The following is an 18,145-nucleotide window of genomic DNA, read 5'->3' on the forward strand; positions in this document are numbered from 1 at the left end:
ATTGACTAATTTTTTTCTTTTTTATATGGCAAGCAGGAGTCCATGCCATTAAAAACTTCCTGTTTAGTATCTATATAATATTCAGTAATACATACTTTGTACTTTATTTTAATATCTATGTAATATTGAGTATATACAGACTTTATTACATAGTAACACAGTCTTTATTGCTAAATATTTAGATCATTATTCTGATCTTAACAATTATAAATAATATTGAAATAAATCTCCTTCTACATAAATCTTGAACTGAAAGACTGATAATTAAGTTAGTACAGATTCCCAAATGTGAGAATATATTTTTTCTATTTTATGTAGCCTCTTTCCTTAAAACTAAGACCCTTCCCCCCTCCACCACCCTGAAATTATTTCTCCTGCTTTGTTTATAAACCACAGAGCTGTTATTACAAATGTCTAGATCAAGGTATGGGAAACAGAGTGAAAGAGCTGGAGATTTGGAATCAGAAAATCTAGATCAATGCACCAGTTCACTTTTCACTCACAAGATGATCCTGGAATGTTACCTGAGAGGCTTTCTGTCCGTGTTTTCTCACCTGGAAAATGGGGCACTAATAGCACCTCCCTCAAAAGATTGAACTGAGGCTTAAATCAGATCAAACATGTGACAACAGCTTTGTAAACCATCATGTGGTCTCGCAAACATCAGTTGTGATTACCTTTACGTGTGCTGACAGATTTAAACAGCTTTCAAAGGGAAATCACAAGAGAGAAAAACCAGTTTATGTTGATGTGCTTTTTTGGTAAAATAAAGCCCAAACCTTTCTTTATTTTATTTTTTTATTTGTAATGTTTTTGGGTACATAGTAGGTGTCTATATTTATGGGGTACATGAGATGTTTTCATACAGGCATGCAATATGAAATAAGCACGTCACGGAGAATAGGGTATCTACCCTTGCAAGCATTTATCCTTTGAGTTACAATCTAGTTATCCTCTTTAAGTTATTTTAAAACGTACAATTAAGTCATTATTGACTACAGTCACCCTGTTGTGCTATCAAATAGTAGGTCTTAATCATTGTTTCTATTTTTTTGTACCTATTAACCATCCCACCTCACTCCCCCAAACCCCCACTACCCTTCCCACCCTCTGGTAACCAGCCTTCTATAATCTATGTCCATGAGTTCAATTGTTTTGGTTTTCAGATCCCACAAATAAGTGAGAACATGTGATGTTTCCCTTTCTGTTCCTGGCTTATTTAACTTATTGTAATCCAAACCTTTCTTTTAAAAAAGTTTAAAAGAATTAAAAGGTCCTCGGGATAAATAATAGCTGTCCAAAGAACATTTCCCAAGTCCAAGTTGTGTCATCCTGGAGATTTTGAAAGCTTTTGCTCATATGTTGGATTAGTACATCTAAAAGTCTCTGATCACAGGCAAGTCAGAGACCTAATGAACCCAACACGCCTTGAGGCTGTGCAAGAGAATCACCAGGACCACAGCTTAGTCCCTCCTCTCTCAGGGAGGGCCACAACATGAGGCCAGAGTGTGATTGGCCTAGGCTCTTTACTAAGGAGCATTTAATGATGAAGGAGGATGCTTCCACGAGACTAGAGAACAGAGAGAGGAGAGGTGAAGAGCGAAAGAAGGAAGGAAGGTGGCCTAGCCTTCATCAAGGCACAAAAGATTCAGGACAGGCAAAGAAGTGAGAAGCTGGGAAGGTGCTCACTATGAGGTTTGTGAAGAGACAACTAGGCTCAGAAGTTTTCAGTGTAGGTATCATACTGCAATGGAATGAAAAGGGAGAAAGGCAGTCATTTTATGGTTCAATCAGAGGCGAGGATTAGAAATTTCAAGCATTAATCCAGAAATCCTAGGGATTCGATGACAATGAAATTTGAAGAAAAGTGTGGGGACAATGGGAGCATTGTAGGAAGGAATCAGTCATACCCGGGTGAGAAGCATCAGCCAAAAGGAAAACCCATAGCAAATGGGGAAGCTGAGGTCTATGCAAAGCAGGAGGCAAATGGGAAATGCAGCACGCCCAGGAAAAGCCTCAGCATGTACACCTGGCTGGAGATCCAGAGGCATAATCACGAGGCCGACCAGTGACTGGTCATCAATTGCAAGGTTTACAATGTCTCCAGCTGGGCCGACAGGCATCCGGGTGGGCACCAGGTCCTCAACCACTGTGCTGGGGAAGATGCCATGGTAAGAAACTCCAAGCTTTCCCCCCAACCCTCTCCGTCTTTCCCCCAGCTGCTGGGTGGCTGAGATCTTGGCTCTCCTCCCAAAAGCATTCCACAATCACTCATCTCCTCACAAACCAATTTTTCAGGATTCCTCTCTAGCAAAATTTTAGTAGTAAATTAAGCCTCAAGGTCTAGCTATGAGCTGCACCTGGTTTGGGATGAGTTCAGATGCTGCCAGTGAATACTATGTTTGCATATTCTGAGTTTTGTTTTGTTCTTGGTGGTTTGTTTTGCTTCGTTTTGAAGCTGAGTCACTGTCTTATAAGAAGAAAATGATAAATGTGTGAGTAAAATCTGGGAAAAAAAAGAACATCTGAACCTAAATAGAAATTTATAAGACTCTTACAAAGTTGACATTCAAAGATGTAAATAACATGTCTCACAGCCAGCAAGTAATGGTGCCAAATTTTGAAATCAGGTCGGTTTGATCCTAAAGCCTTAAATATCTGGATTGTAAAAAATAAAATAAAATTTCTACTTAATATTTGATAAAAATGTGTCTCAAAATCTTAAATGCCTTAAGGAATCTCTTTTAAAATATTCCATAAAGAAGTCAGTTTTCTCTCAATTGGGACTTTTATTTCCCACATTGTACAGACGAAGAAACAGAATTAGAGGAACTAAACAACTAACTCAAGATCAGAAATTAATATATGACAGAATAGAAATTTAAATGCAGGCTTTTAAAAAGTATGTGGCTCCTGTTGGTTTTACAGTTTAGCATATAACTTCTTTAACTGGTTTTAAAGATCGGATTGAAAACATTATTTTGCTAAGTACCAGTCTATACATGGTACTGTACTAATAATAACAAAATTCACAAATACCTGCAAGATTTCATCTTTTGATGCCATCTGCATCTCTTTTCCTCAATTCTTACTTTTCCCCCAATTTCTCATCCCTCTTGTCTGTCTAGGTTCCTGTTCTTCCTATCTTGTTTCTACAGTCAGATGAATACCTTTCTGAGTATGCCCTGCTACAGCCCCACCACTTCTCTCAGATATATTTCTTAAACAAAGTTCAAACTTTCCTTGGAAAATAAGCATAAGCTTGTACACAGTGCCCAGAAATCAGAGAGCAGAGGGTAGAAGAAGCAAGAAGAGCATTTGTGTAAGAACAACAGGAGACAAAAAAAAAAACAAGAAGAAAATGTAAAACATACTACAGATGCCTATCTATCCCATCCCCTCATTTCTACAACTCAGAGAAAATACAGATGAGGCTTTGCTAACACAAGTCACAGAATTAGCTCAGAGGATGTGTTCGCAAAGATGTGAGCCTTCAACCACCTTAAAAATAACTGATAGCCTCACTCAGTTTGAGGCAGCCCAGATAGATGATAAAGTTTTAATTTGCTAATGATTTTTATCTCCTAGAAGTCAGGAAAAGACCCTGAGTTTGTGTCCAATTATAGCCAACAAGGAGGAATTGATTAATATAATAGAAACCATCAGAATCTTGTGGGAAAATACCCATGCCACCTTAGGATTTACCTATGTCTAGGAAGAAAATCATAAATTGGTCAGTAACGTATCTTAGACTTTAGGAAAATAGATAAAAAATGTCCAGAGGAAAGATTCTCCTAGAGAAAATGGCTTAAGAAGGAACAGGGAGTGCTAGAACAATCCACAGTACTCCATGACTCAGAGTACAGGGAGCCTGAGCTTTGGAATAGGTTATGTGAACCTAGGAATGTTATTGGGATGTTCTGAGCCTCAGCTTCCCCAACTGCAAAATGAGGCTGACATTACCCACCTGAGTGATTTATGGCAAATAGAACCAACGCATGTAAAGTGCTTGGCATTAGTGCCAGATACTTAGTAAAAGTTCATTCAGTCTTATCTATTATCAGTCTTATCACCAGCATCTTTATCCTCAGAAATATAATTATTATTTCTTGTTTGTTCACCACTAGCTTAGAAATCCTGTGTGATTGGGAACAGAGGGCTATATAATGAAGCATCATGCTTTCCAGTGAAGGAGGGAAGATCATAAAGTCAGGAGGCGTGAGATCAAATGCTCACCCTATAGCTTAAGAGACGTTTGCAGGTCGAGCCTCTGAGGGGCAAGTGTGAGCCAAAGTATTCTCACTGTGTGTCAGCCCCAGGCCCATGGCTGCACCTGCCCAGAGAAAGCACCCTTTTCTTATATACATCGTAATCTTCTGTAGGTCTCCATCATCCTCATAAAAGGTGAATGATGGTATCTACGTAATCTATCCCAAAGGGTCATTAATTCATACATTCATGCAGTCAGTTATTCCAAAACTCTTGTTAGGGTTCCAGCCTCATGGGAATGAAACAGGTCTGCTTTGCATCTGGGCTCCACATTTACTAGGAATGTCCTGAGGTTCTTGAAGCCTCAGCTCCCTTATCTAGAAAATGAGGATAATAATACCTTCACCTTAGCATTGCCGTAAAAGTCAGCAGAGATCAAATGAAGTGCTCACTGTGGTGCTTGGTACAAATTAGATACTCAAAACATAGCAGCTCTTGTATTTTATTATTACTTCAGTCTTCTGAGATGGGTTTCCATTTTCTCCAAGGAACTTTACTAAGAAAAATAAATCTATAAAACAAAATTGGTATATAAGTTCCTGTTATTGCACATATGATTTATCTGGTATTTTCAAACAATATGGTTTAAAACTAATGTCACTATGCTAATAACTAGAGTTATGGCCACATTCTTTTTATCTGTAAGAGCTCACCTAGGAAAATCCAGAAACAACCTGTAAGTACAACAAGGAGGATTCATTCTATAGATTATAATTACAATACAATAAGCTATTTTGCAATCATTAAAATTAGGATTATAAAACATATTTTTCTTCTTAGAGAAGGGTCTCACTCTGCTGCCTAGGGTAGAGTGCAGTGGCATGATCATAGCCCACTACAGCCTCCAACTCTTGGGCTCAAGCGATCCTTCAGCCTCAGCCTTCCAAATAGCTGAGACCACAGGTGTATGCCATCGCAGCCAGATTTTTTAAATTTTTTGTAGAGATAGGGTATCACTATGTTGCCCAGGCTGGTTTCCTAATACCTGGCCTCAAACCATCCTCCTGCCTCAGCCTCCCAAAGTGCTGAGATTACAGGTATGAACCACTGCACCTGACCTACAAAACACTTTGATGACAGTAAATATATATGAACAAATAGCTGGCCACAAATTTTGTATAAAACAACAGTATGTTCTGAGCTCCACGAGAAACATAATTGCAATCTTATGATGCATTCAGAGAGGCAGCATAATCAGAACAAAGAAAGCAGTTTTATTATCTTGTGTGCTGTTTAGCACACTCCTTATTTCTGGACACAACACTCTAATAGAGAGACTAAGAAACTGAAGTTCTTTCTCATGAGAGTCAGAGTCCAACATGATGGGAAAGAATGACAAAATCTTATAGGAAATATGGCAGGATCCATTTCAGCTCTTTGGAGGACTGGTATGTGGAAGAAGAAGAGTTGTGTGCAGCACCAAAAGAGGGCATTCTGAATGGTTTCAGATGAGCAGAGCCAGCAGAGGCAAGGCTGGGGCAGGGGAAAGGGAGGGTGTATACAGAAATGGAGTATAAATATGATTCATGGCATAAGCACCCCACCAGAATGGGCATCTCAGCCTGGACACTTCCTTTACTTAGCACAATATTGGCCGAAACTACATGCTAACTAATGGTAGTGGTTATGACAGAGGAATTCACTGGCTAAGAGAAAAGGAGAAGACAGATAGAAGATGAAGAGAGAGAAGAGATAGAGGAAGAGAAAAGAGAAAGCAGAGGGAGAGAAAGGATCTTGTGTGCTGAGCTAAGGAGTTTGCATTTTATCCTTACTGCATTGCTGCCTCTCTTCCTACTATACATGAGAATGTGTCCCTAGCACAGCATCCCTCCCACCTTCATCCTCACAACACAATCACCTGGCATTTCTAAGCTGTTGGTAAAAGAAAAGTAATAATCAGTGATAATTACATCTTTCCTGCGTCATCAAAACTTTTAAAATTATCTGATTCTCGTGGAAATGATAGTTCTAGTTGTAAAATAGATGGAGGAGAGGAGAGAGAAAGAAGTTCAAGTGCTAAGAGATGAAAATGGGCCATGAGGAGACAGTGCCTTTCTGGAAGTTGAGTCTGGCAGTTAAGTGAAGGATGAAATCCAAAAGAGCCTCTCAAAATGAAGGAGGACCAGGGTGGAGTCCAGGGAACATGTTGAAGGCCCAAGCAAGGTGTTGGCTACAGGAATGGAGAAGAGGAGCTGGGTGGGAAGGATTTTTAGAAGACAGAATTTCTAATATTTGAAGAGTGACTTGATAAACTAGCAGGATTGAGGAGTCTAAGCTGACTTATAGATATCGGGCTTGGGCAACTGAGTGGTGATATCTATTACAAGGAAGCCCAGGAGAATGCACAGGTTTGAAAGGAAGTGGAAGGGGAGGGGAGAGTTGATTTCATTTGGGCTGGAGCTCAGCTGAAAGCATTATAGAAAAAAATCTCAATATAAGGAAGAGTTTTCAAGAAACAAAAGTGTTCAAACAATAGTATGAGTTGCAGTGGGAATATAACCCTCTGCTTATCCCTATGGGTGAAGAGGAATCTGGTGACTTTCTGTGATCATTCCCACTCCAAAGCAGCTGTCTCCCAGGACAAGGGCAAAGATGCTTTCTCCACACAAATTGGCCTGTTCAGAACTCACTGTCCATCTGAAATTTGTAGAGACTTGCTCTAGCCATTGCCTTAGGGCAGGTGAAATCTAAGAAGGAAACAGAAGAGGAATTACCCAAAGGTGTGGGAGCAGGAGTCTTCATCTGTGGCTAGATATAGAAGAGTCTCGTGAGCTTTTTTTTTTTTTTTGCAGTGAGTACACCAAGGTCTATATTCTAGTTATCTTGTTTTATGGATAACTTGTTTTATGGATAACAACACTCTCTATGGATGGTTTCTAAATTTACGTTTGTTCCTTAGTAAACTTCTTTTGGGAAATTTCAACCCACCTCAAATGAACTAAGTGATAATCATATATAATCATGGCCACTTATTGATGTCTGACTCCAAAATCTAAGCTCTTAACCTCTAGGCTGGGTCCTCCATAGGTTTTAGAATGACTGAATAAATGAATGAAGGAATTAATGAGCTCATAGAGAGGATTAGGTAGTGTTATCTACATTTAGGAGAAATTAAGTAATTTCTGTGTGTGAAACAGCCTACTCCTCTGCTACCCTATACTATGCCTTAGTGTGAATTAGGAAAGGCACACTCTCTGGGTGATTGCAGCCCTATAGGCACAAGGTTTGGCAAATGGAGTGTCCACTGGAAGTCAGGCCACACTTGCCATCTTGGCCGAGTGCCTTTGTACAGGTCACAGCCTGTATACAACATTTAAGTTGTAAAAACAGAATTTTATCTCACACCCTCTGACTTTATATACTTTTCTCTTCCACTAGGGATCATACTGCTTTTACAGGAAAGCACATGACTCCATCTCCCACCAAATAACAGCAAAAAAATTAGCAGTTTATCCAAGGTATTTGTGAAAGCAAAGCAGTAATCACATCTTCTCCATGCTGTTACTATTTTGGAAATAATCAGTTACGAGATGAGCTACGGTATAAATTTATGAATAATTTAAATAGTAAAGATGATGATTGAGAAGGAAGCCAAAAGACTAACAGATGAAAATGTGAGATGCTGAAGTCACAAAAAGATCAGAAAATAGAGATGCCGTGGATAGGAAGAGACAGCAGCGCTTAACACCTGTATACTTAGAGTGCCACACTTTGATTATCCTAATACTTTGTTATAGAAATGCTATATCTGTTCATTCATTCACCCTTTCCCTTATTTGTCAGGTGTCTATTGATCACATGCTATACTTTAGGCACAGTGATTGACATTAGGTATACATTAACCAATAATAGTACATGGTCCCAGTCTTTAAAAAACTCACAAACCACTAAAAAAAAGGGTGATTACACAGATTCATTATAGTATAAGTATAGTATAGTATAGTATAGTATAGTATAGTATAGTATAGTATAGTATAGTATAGTATAGCATAGCATAGCATAGCATAGCATAGCATAGCATAGCATAGCATAGCATAGCATAGCATAGCATAGTATAAATTTGAAAAGCTCTAGGAACAAAGTGTCGTGTGAACCCAGGAGCAATCATGAATCATTTTCCTGAGTGATTGGGGGAAGCAGTATTTAACCTGGGCCTTGAAGGGTGAGAGGAGCTTTTAAAGAGAGAAAATGAAGGAGGTAGTCAAGGCCAAGAGAGCAGTAAGTGTAAAGCCTCAGAAATACAGAAGGCCACGGAATGCATACTGAATGGGGAGGCTCCAGTAGAGAAGATGAGGCATGAAGGGTATAGAGAAGGTGAGTCTAGGGAGGCAGGTTGGAGACAGAAGCAAATGTTTTACATGACTCAACCCTATGGTGGGGACACGCCATTACCATCTGCCAAGCAGATACATACTGATTTAGCATCATCCCCAATCTGTCATCACTCCTTTCTTGGGAGGACTTTAAGAACACAATCTATATGTGTTAAGGCTGGAATGGACCTTTAGGGCTTTAAGGCTTTAGAATTGCATAACCTTGAATTCAAACCCTGGCTCTGCTATTGAGTGTGGCATTTGGGGCAAGATACATCTCCCCTCTGAAACTTAGTGTCTTGATCTGTACAATGAAAGTGACAGAACCTCACAGAACTAAAATGGTGACTATGAGTTGGCCCATAGAATACCTTGTACACAGGACACACTTCATAAACACTGACACTACCCCTTCTACTCTTCATTTTATCCCCTCTCCGTCTTTCAGCAGAAACACATTTGGCCCAAGAATGTTGGTAACAGGACTTGCATTATTGCAGTCTTTTCACGAAGAGAATTTCACAACTTAGTATCTAGATTCTGTTTGAAGATTCTTTCAAATAGAATATTCTACCTAAACTCCTTCCTTGTGCTGCCCCAATGATGCAGGAAAGAGTTCCACAGAGCAGGCCAGTGTCTACTGTTCTGAAAATCTCTGCGGCATCCCCGTATGTGTTGTTACAGTTTTAACCTACGAACCTTCCTGGGGATTTGAAGAAACAATGAACCCAGAAGAATATTATTGTCAGTACACTGTTCCAGGACTCTAGATAGCTGCTCAGAGTACAGCGAAATTGCAATTGATTACATTCTATACTTTGATCTTGATCCATCAGGATGTCTTCCAACCTAATCTGCTCTGAAACAACAAGCAGCACATGATTTTTCAGTACGGGTCACAATGAGATATTTTAATCACCCTCTTCATCACTGAATCACTCTTCCTGGTTAGGGGACCTAAACTTTAGTATCATAAATGTGAAAAATTTAAACACCTTTGAAATTATTTAGTCCAGCATTTCCCAAGGGACTCAGGGGGCATGTAGAGAAGCAGAATGGACACTGGTGGCATTTTCTGTACAAAAGAAGCAATGGCACTTCACTGCCTGGACTGATTCTAACAGATAAAGGCCCATTTTACGTCATTGCATCTGGAGACCCATAGGTGAAATGAGTCTAAAGAGTTGATATTGTATCCTTCTAATTAACCTTGTTCATTATAAAAATACCTTCTTACTTCTATAAGTAAGCATTATTATAATACTACAATAATAAGTAGGCTCATATGTAATTCTTGGATATATCTAAAGTTGATTTACTATTTGAAGATGTAGCACTCATTATATTCATTAATATAATTCAGAGCTCACTCCACGTTAGGCATTGAGGTAAAGGGAGGAAATCTCTGAATATTGAAGAGAAGGTAGGTAGTGGGTTCTTATCAGTGGAGGTATACACATATGAAATATATCTGATGTGTTTAAAACATAGTAAATGCCACTTGGCATTATTATTAATTTACTTAACCCTCATAATAACTTCATGAATTGAGCGGGTATTATCATCACCCCCATTTAGGAAAAATAATATAGAAGCGTCACAGGCAATTCAAGAGACTTGCCTACAATTACTTAGCTAGTAAGTAGCAATGCTAGAATTTGCATGTAGGAAAGCTGGCTCCAGCGTCCACTTTCGTAATCAGTATAACGCAACACCACCACTGCAGAGTAATTTGTATGGCTTCCATATATACAGTTTACAACTTTGGTAATATTTCTTCATTTTTAATTACTCCCTTCCCCAAACCATAATAGCAACAAGTCTAGCATCTCCCTCTTGGAAAATCTTTCTTCTTTCCAGAAACAATTTAAATCCCTGGAAGAGAAGACTCTCTTTCTTCCAAACATAAACAGGATATAGGAACCATCACTGCTTCTCATAGCCATACGGAATTGCTACTTAACATGCACCTGAGGTGGAAAAATATAGTTTGTCACCTCTATTCTGTTTCTGGCTGTCACCAAGTCTCTGCACAGGCCACCACAGCATTTTTTTAATAGAGAGTGAGGAGCCTCCTTCAGTGACAAGCTTAGCCAAAGGTGTACTATTTTAGACCACCCAGGGCTCTAGGGCTGTGCTCTTATAATCTCTCATGCCTTTGCCTTAAGGAATCATCAACTTTAACCTGTCCTTCTCTAGAATTAACTAATTCAAGGGGCCTTATTCCCCTGGGCTTTGGCCAAGAAACCAGAGAGAGCCCTCAATGGAAGATATAATTTGCATAGCCAAACTTGGTTGCCGCACTGTCTCAGATAGTGTGAGCAACTTTCACATTAAGACTGATGCTGGACTTTTATAAAGATTTATCCCAACCCATAAACTCAATTATTTCTTCTGGTGATAAATAAAATAGTGATCTCATCAATGCTCCAGGATCCCCTGACTGTGTTGGTCATACCTAGAGAAGCAGTACACGTAGTAGGTGGGTCTCCAGCAGGAAACTTTCACAGAGATGGTTTTCAGGGATAATTTTGATCAATCAACTGGAAACATTAACTTGGAGTTACAAGAAAATCCTCTGCAATGAGGTCTGTGCTGATTCCCAGACTGAGCACAGGACAAGATAAGAAAAGGAACGGATCTGTGGATAAGCATGTCTCTTCAAAGCCTCTGACAGGTATCTCTGATTTACAGGATGTCTTCAGGGCCATGCATCCAGAGCTTGACATTGTGCAGTTGTACCTGAAGCCACTGCTCATTGGAGAACTTGCCCCAGGAGAGCCCAGCCAGGAAAGACACAAAAATGTAAGTGAGATGTCAGGATCCAGGGGTGTAGAAGGATGGAGACGAGGCATATTTTAAAGCCAATTAACTGTTTTCTGTGAAGGGTGGGACCACAGTAGAGTCAATGGATGGAGTCCACGTATTTCAAAACAATGCCTTTTTCTTTAGATCATGGGAACTCTTAAATCTTAGTGAAGAAAAAGAATAAAATTCTTATCCCTTCATCAAACAGTAATTTCATGTCTCTAAGCACCTACCTCATGCCAGGGAACTTACGGATATAATTTCCTTTTCATTGACTGCTTTTAATTATGTTTTATATCTATGTCTATGTTCCCAGCCCAAATATGTTGCATGAGAGGCGAGACTATGTCCACTTTTCTTATCCCTGTGTCCTGAAGACCTCCTTTCACAGGATCAACATGTAGTAGGAACTCCAAAAACAGCTACTGATTGAAAGATGTCACCGTATCCTAACTACAGCCTTTTTACATTTGGGGAAATTATCATTCAGGGAAAACAAATTACTCTCTAAAAGTCTGACAGCTGGTGTATCAAAGAGCTGAGACTCCAAATCACTTCTCTCTGGCTCCAATCCCTTAGGTATTCCCAAGGAAAAATGCCATTCTTTCTTTAATATTTTGGCTACATGAATACTGTCTTCTAAAGGACAGAGTCTCCATAGGACTAAAAATTCACTGGGATGGTTTTACATAACGCCGAGAGGAATTTTACTTAATATTGAGTAATTTCATTTTTCAAAATTTATTTTTTGTAACAGCTTACATTTGCCTGACTCTTGAAATAATTTTTATAACGTGTGGATCCATAGACCCCTGTGAAGCAGAGGGAGCAAGGATTTTATTCTCTCTTAAAAAAATGAAGAAACAGACTCACAAAGGGAGCAGGACTAATCTGAGGACACAGAACTGGTTATGGGCAAATCTGAGACTAATAGGTAAGCTCCATCTTTAGGCCCATGTTCATCCCACAGCACAGCTCTGTTCCAAAGAGTGGGATGGTAGGATGGACAGCCTGCACTCTCACCCCAACCTTGCCATTCTCAAATTGTGTGAGTCTAGGCCAGTTCCCAAACCTCTTTTGGCTCAGTTTCTCCCCCATAAGATACTGAAAACAATGGTACCAACCTTATGAGAGTTATTGGGAAAACAATTGAAAGAAGTAAAGTCATCATTTAAAGTGCTTAGAACAATGCCTGGAACACAGTAAATGCTCAATACATTTTACTTATTATCATAATCACGAACTGATGATGGTACTAGTAATTTTAAAACTTTCAGATATGTCCCCATCATTTGGGTCAGGTAGCTCTAGGTTAAAAAGTGAAGGTGATGCAAAATTTTATTGTTTTTCCTAAATTTTTCCTGTAAGAAAAATAAAATCCCACTAACGACTGAGACCTATCAGATAATCATTATCTAAAAGAGTGTTGGTCTCTGGAGATAAAGGTCTACCATAAATTTTCTTTAATACATTTATATGGATATTCAAGTTGCTGTATATAGAAAATTAGTATTTGAGCATAAAATTGGATGTCAGGTGTGGGTTTGAGTTCACCACCTGTCACTGACTTGTTGACAACTTCAAGCCAGTCACTCTTCTGGGTTTTGCTGACCTCCCTCAACTCTGCAATAAATGTTTTGCAAAAGATGACCAGGCTGGAGGCACCCTAGAGATAGCAAATTAATATTAGATAATTATTAAAATAACCTGTGGCCACAAGAATTCTAAGATTGATGGGGTTTGGGAGATGAGCCTATCCAGAACTTTTGCCAGGCAATGGGTCCTTTAAAAGTTGTATCTGTGAATTTTGAAATTTTTGGCTTCTGGAATTATTTTCATAGCTCTTTCTTTTTTTTGTTTCTAACATTTCTCCTTTCTTACATCTGTACAACCCTGTTATAGTTCTCATAACCTGGTCACTTTCCCAGCTGTCCTAGTTTCAAACCCATAATAGTCAATAAGCCAAGAGATATTTCTTTCCAACCTTGTGAGCTCCCCAGTATGATGTGGCAAGCTTGTAAACCAATGCTAATGCTGAACATGAACACTCACACATGCACATACACACAGGGCCCTTAAACGAGACCTTTCCAACTGAGTACACACACGCTAATAAGCCCTGCCTTGTTTTGGGGGATCCACTAAGCAGCTCTCAGAAAATTCATCCTGAGAGCTAATCTAAGTGAACTATATTGTTCTACAATCTCCATCTTCCATGAAATAACCCTTTCTACACATTAAGCAACTGATGGCCTGGAAAGCACTTTGTAAACTATACCAGTAACTGGTAACACAGATCCATATAGATGACCAAGTTCCCCCAAACAAAACCAGAGCTCACTCAACACCTGAAATAATTCTGGTGGTTTACAAGGCAACAGTTAGGCACATGTATCTCTCCACTGCCCTCTCCTCTCCTTCCCCATCCCCTGAAAAAAATCTAATTCTGAATTCCATAACAGCTTTAGGACAGTTTACAAGTCACTATTCATCTTTCACTTCTGCAGAAAACAACAAAAAAATTTCATAAACTTTTTAAAGGTTTTATTTGCTGGTTCATTGTTTTGGGGTTTTAATTCTGGACAATTAAATGTATTAATAAAATTCTATTAATAAAAGAGATGTATACAAAATTAATAAAATAAATTATTAATTATGTTCATCTGTATTCCCTTTCCCCTGAAAGAGCTAATTTACTCTTTGAATATTTATTTCATAGTCCCAGTTGGTAAAAGATTTCCAAGAATTGTGGAGCATCGCAGAGGCTATGAACATGTTCCATGCCAACCTGGGGTTCTTCTTTCTTCACTTTGTGCAGATCTTAATTTTGGAAGTGCTGGCGTGGCTAATAGTGTATCATTTTGGCAGTGGCTGGCCTGTTACTATGTTCATTTCCTTTCTTCTCACAATTTCTCAGGCAAGCAGGTATACTAAGCCCAGGCAGCGTCCTCATAGAAAGGCTCAGAATTTCTTCTTCTCTCTTTAGATTGGTGTCAGCTGCTGCCTGACACTTCTTGGCAAGGTACTCATCAATGTCAGGCACTTACCAGCAAGTGACCAAGCTTCATTGGGCTTTGGTTCTCTCCTCTCTAAAGTGAGGATAATAATGAATGTGGAATTATTCTGAGAAGGACTAATCAGGCAAATGTGTAAAATATAAAGCACAGTGTCTGGCCTATGGCAAATGTTTAATTAGTGACAATTGCTGCTGTTTGCCCTGTTTTATGCCCACCATCTCAGTGATTGAAGTTCTGTCCTTAGCCATGCCACACACATATTTATCTTTCATTCTTTAATCAATCAACATTTATCAATGCATCAGACCATGAATTCTTCAAGGGCAGATGTGATATCCTATGTGAGAATCAGAACGTGTGAGTTCCTCCATAAATGACAAATAGCAACTGACACTTAGCAGGGCATTTGATAAATCTTTGTTGAATGAAGTATGAATCTCTGAACATAGCCTTCTATGAGCGTGATACCATGTTGTCGATACAAAGGAAAAGTCAACATGCTCCCTGCTCCTGAGAAAGAAGTCGTGTAGTGGAGGAAATAGTCCTTCACAAACAGCTTAACACACTGCCTGGCACAAATCAATGATATTAATCCCAAGAAGAGGAACAAGCATTACTGTCGGAGCAGAAAGGAGCATTTAATTCTCATTAGAATCATTGGAAAAGGTTTTGTAGAGAATTAACTGCAATGTGTTTCGAGGTTCCAGAATTCTGGATGCTGATTCTTTTTCTTAAATCCTCTTGTTTAATTTCTTGAAAAGTGACTTTTGGAAGCAAGAAAGGAAACAAATATTTGTTTAGTGCTTAGCATACGCTGGGCACTTTACATATAGGTATGTAGTACAATAACCCCGTGAGTTAGGTATTAGTGTCCCCTTCTATCAGATGAAGAACTGAAGGTGAGAGCTATCGAGTAACTTGCCCAGAGTCGTGAAGCTCGTTAGTGGTGAAGAACAGTTTAGAATTCAAATCTGTCTGACACCAAAGACCATGGTCTTTGCACTCCATACTGGAAACCTTTGAAAGTGACAAGGAGAGCATTCCAGGCTGATACAACAAAGGCATAAATGTTGGAAAGAACAGGCAGGATATGTATGGGAAATAGAAACTAATTTTGGCTGGAGGTCGAACAAGATCACCCACTTTTCCCAAATAAGGTTGTGAATCTACTATGGGACTTGTTGATTGATTTCTTGTTAGGGTCCCAATTTCTCTAACAGTAACTTCCTCTCTCCTAGGCTCAGAGCTCATTTTTGCAGCATGACGCGGGGCACCTTTCCATATTTAGGAAGTCCAAGTGGAACCACGTGGTGCATAAATTTGTGATGTGCCATCTCAAGGTATGGGACGTCAGGGAGCATGAGGGGGATTCCTGAACATGAGTCCCTAAGGAGTGGTTCCCATATTTGTACATTGATATCAGTAAAAAATATTTATGATACCCCACAAATAAATATAAGTGTACTAACAAGGTAGATAATATGTACTAATATATAATACAACACTATAAAATATGTGCTGAAATGAGAATTTTAAATTAAATTTTTTGTGAGGATTTATTTAGTTCTATTTAAGAAGCTCTTATATTTTGTATTACCCTGGTAGACTCTTTGGCTAAATCCCTGGCACCCCCCTGCCCTAAGGGACCACCTCACAGAAGAAAGTGTGTGCCTTGAAAAATGAAGATGTGCATTGTGAAATCATAAGTGGGAATATTCTTAGAAGGGATTTTGGGCAAGGAGGAGGCAGCTATGAAGAAATAAAGGAAAAGATGCAAAACAGATACTAGTGAACAGAAAGACTAGTCAGGAAAAGCCAGATGGCTCTGTTCAAGAGTGCAGGATTGCAAAATCCAGACTGCTGGAAAAAGCAGGTAGTGATATGACAGCTGGTCTTATCCCCTCTTACTTGGGCTCCAGGAAGCAGGTACACTGTCCTATGCACCACTGCAGTGCAGCACCTAGGAGAGTGCTTGGTGCATGGCGGCGGGGGGGAGCCTTCAATAAGCTTTTGTTGAAGGAAGGAATGAAAGAAAGAAAGAAAGAAAGAGTGAATGAATGAACCAGTTAACAGTGCAGGACTTCCAAGCATGGCTTCCAGGCCTGGCTCTGACAGTGCTCATTGTGAGATCTTTAGTAAATCACATTCTATCCCTGGTCCTCAGTGTTCCCATCAGTAGTACTAGGAGTTAAACTAGATCTCTACTTTTCTAGAACTTTCTAGGGTTTGGTGACTATGTACTCTGGCCTAGAAGGGAAGCAAATGTCTCTGAGCCTTCCACTAAACCAAATCCTTGCATTCAAACCGGGATCCCTTAGGAAAAACCTATGGGCACTGACTCAGAGCCTATTAGTTCTTCCCTAACACAGTGATTTTATACATATATCTCATTCTGGTTATCTGCTTCCCCAGCCCGTAGTGGCTTGGAAGTAGCCAACTAATAAAAGCATGAAGACAATGCTGGAGCCAGGCCCACAGAGAGTAGTGAGCAGTAACTACTTACAGCAAACAATAAGGAAACACAGATGGGGACTCACATTGTGTGAGCCTGACAAGTGCCAGGTTCGGAATTTGCCCCGTTAGGCTATTTTCTCAAGTAATTCTAATGATGTGAGGATATAGCACTCCTAGTTTTCAGTTGAAATTCATGTTCAGAGGGGTTAAGCATTTAAGCCAATGGACATAAACTGGTCAGTGGAGAATTCATAGCATAGCACTAAATAATGCAGGCACTAGAGCAGAGCTGCTCAATGCTGGCTATCATTTGAAGCCACCTAAAGAAGTTATTTTTTAAAGTCCTAATGCCTAAGTACCATCTCTAGATATTCTAAATTCATCCCCAGTAGAGTCTAGACATCAGTATTTTTGGAAAGTTCCCCAGGTGATTCTAACCTACAAAAATGAACCTGCCTTCTGTGAGAATTCAGGCACTCATGAGCTGAGTCACTTTGAACAAATTACTTAATGATTTTGAACCACAGTTTCTTCAACTGTAAAATGATGATAGATGATGGCTTCAACCTGATAAGGATGTTGTTAGGATTATACGCAATACTCATGTGTCATGCTCAACAAAGTGTCTGGCATACAGGAAATGCTTAATAATTGTTAATTGTTATTAATACTAGAAACAGTCTTTCCATAATCAAAATGAAGACTCAGAATCAATAAGAAAAATATTTAATCGTTGAAGTATTAAGAAGATGGAAATAAATCACATCATCACTAAGTTGCAAGGTACCTGGAATCATCTACTTTTATCTACCCTCTCTCCCATTGAGCAGTTTGAGCCTTAAGTCAATCAGATAACACAGAGTTGGATTTTGATTCATATTGGAGATGTGTCCCCCAAAATAGTTAGAATGAATAATAAGTTGTTATTTCATGTGATAGGTCACATTTGACCAGAAAATTCCTGTGGGCATTCTATTCCACCCTCTCTTCACCAGTGTAAGATAGATTAGTCTGTTTCTGGATTCACTCAGAGATACTTAGCACAGAATAAAAGCAGAGGCAGTTTCTTCTGCTATTGTGAGTTTCAGGTAATAGACCATCCCATTTTTCCTCCTCTGTTCTGAGGAGTCAGAGGAAAGGTAAGACTCATCTGCCCTGGAGGTAGCTGGCAGTTGATTCAGTGCCAGTATGTGAAATATTTCAGATCAGCCCCACCCATGCTGGCACTTTAAAAAAAAAATCACTGCTTTCCCATTGATCCTGATTTGTACACAGCTATTTCTA

The 18,145-nt window shown here is 39.3% G+C and overlaps 1 long non-coding RNA gene and 1 pseudogene across 1 annotated transcript in view; one reads left to right on the plus strand and one right to left on the minus strand.

The window, feature by feature from the left end:
• FADS2B (fatty acid desaturase 2B (pseudogene)) lies at nucleotides 2,025-15,747 on the plus strand (annotated as a pseudogene).
• LOC105369310 (uncharacterized) overlaps nucleotides 13,889-18,145 on the minus strand; it is a 49,693-nt gene continuing 45,436 nt past the window's right edge. The window contains exon 3 of the long non-coding RNA XR_950121.2: nucleotides 13,889-14,479. This is a non-coding gene — a long non-coding RNA (uncharacterized LOC105369310). The remainder of the gene's footprint in view (nucleotides 14,480-18,145) is intronic.

Source organism: Homo sapiens, chromosome 11 (genome assembly GCF_000001405.40).
Source record: "Homo sapiens chromosome 11, GRCh38.p14 Primary Assembly".
Lineage (NCBI taxonomy): Eukaryota > Metazoa > Chordata > Mammalia > Primates > Hominidae > Homo > Homo sapiens.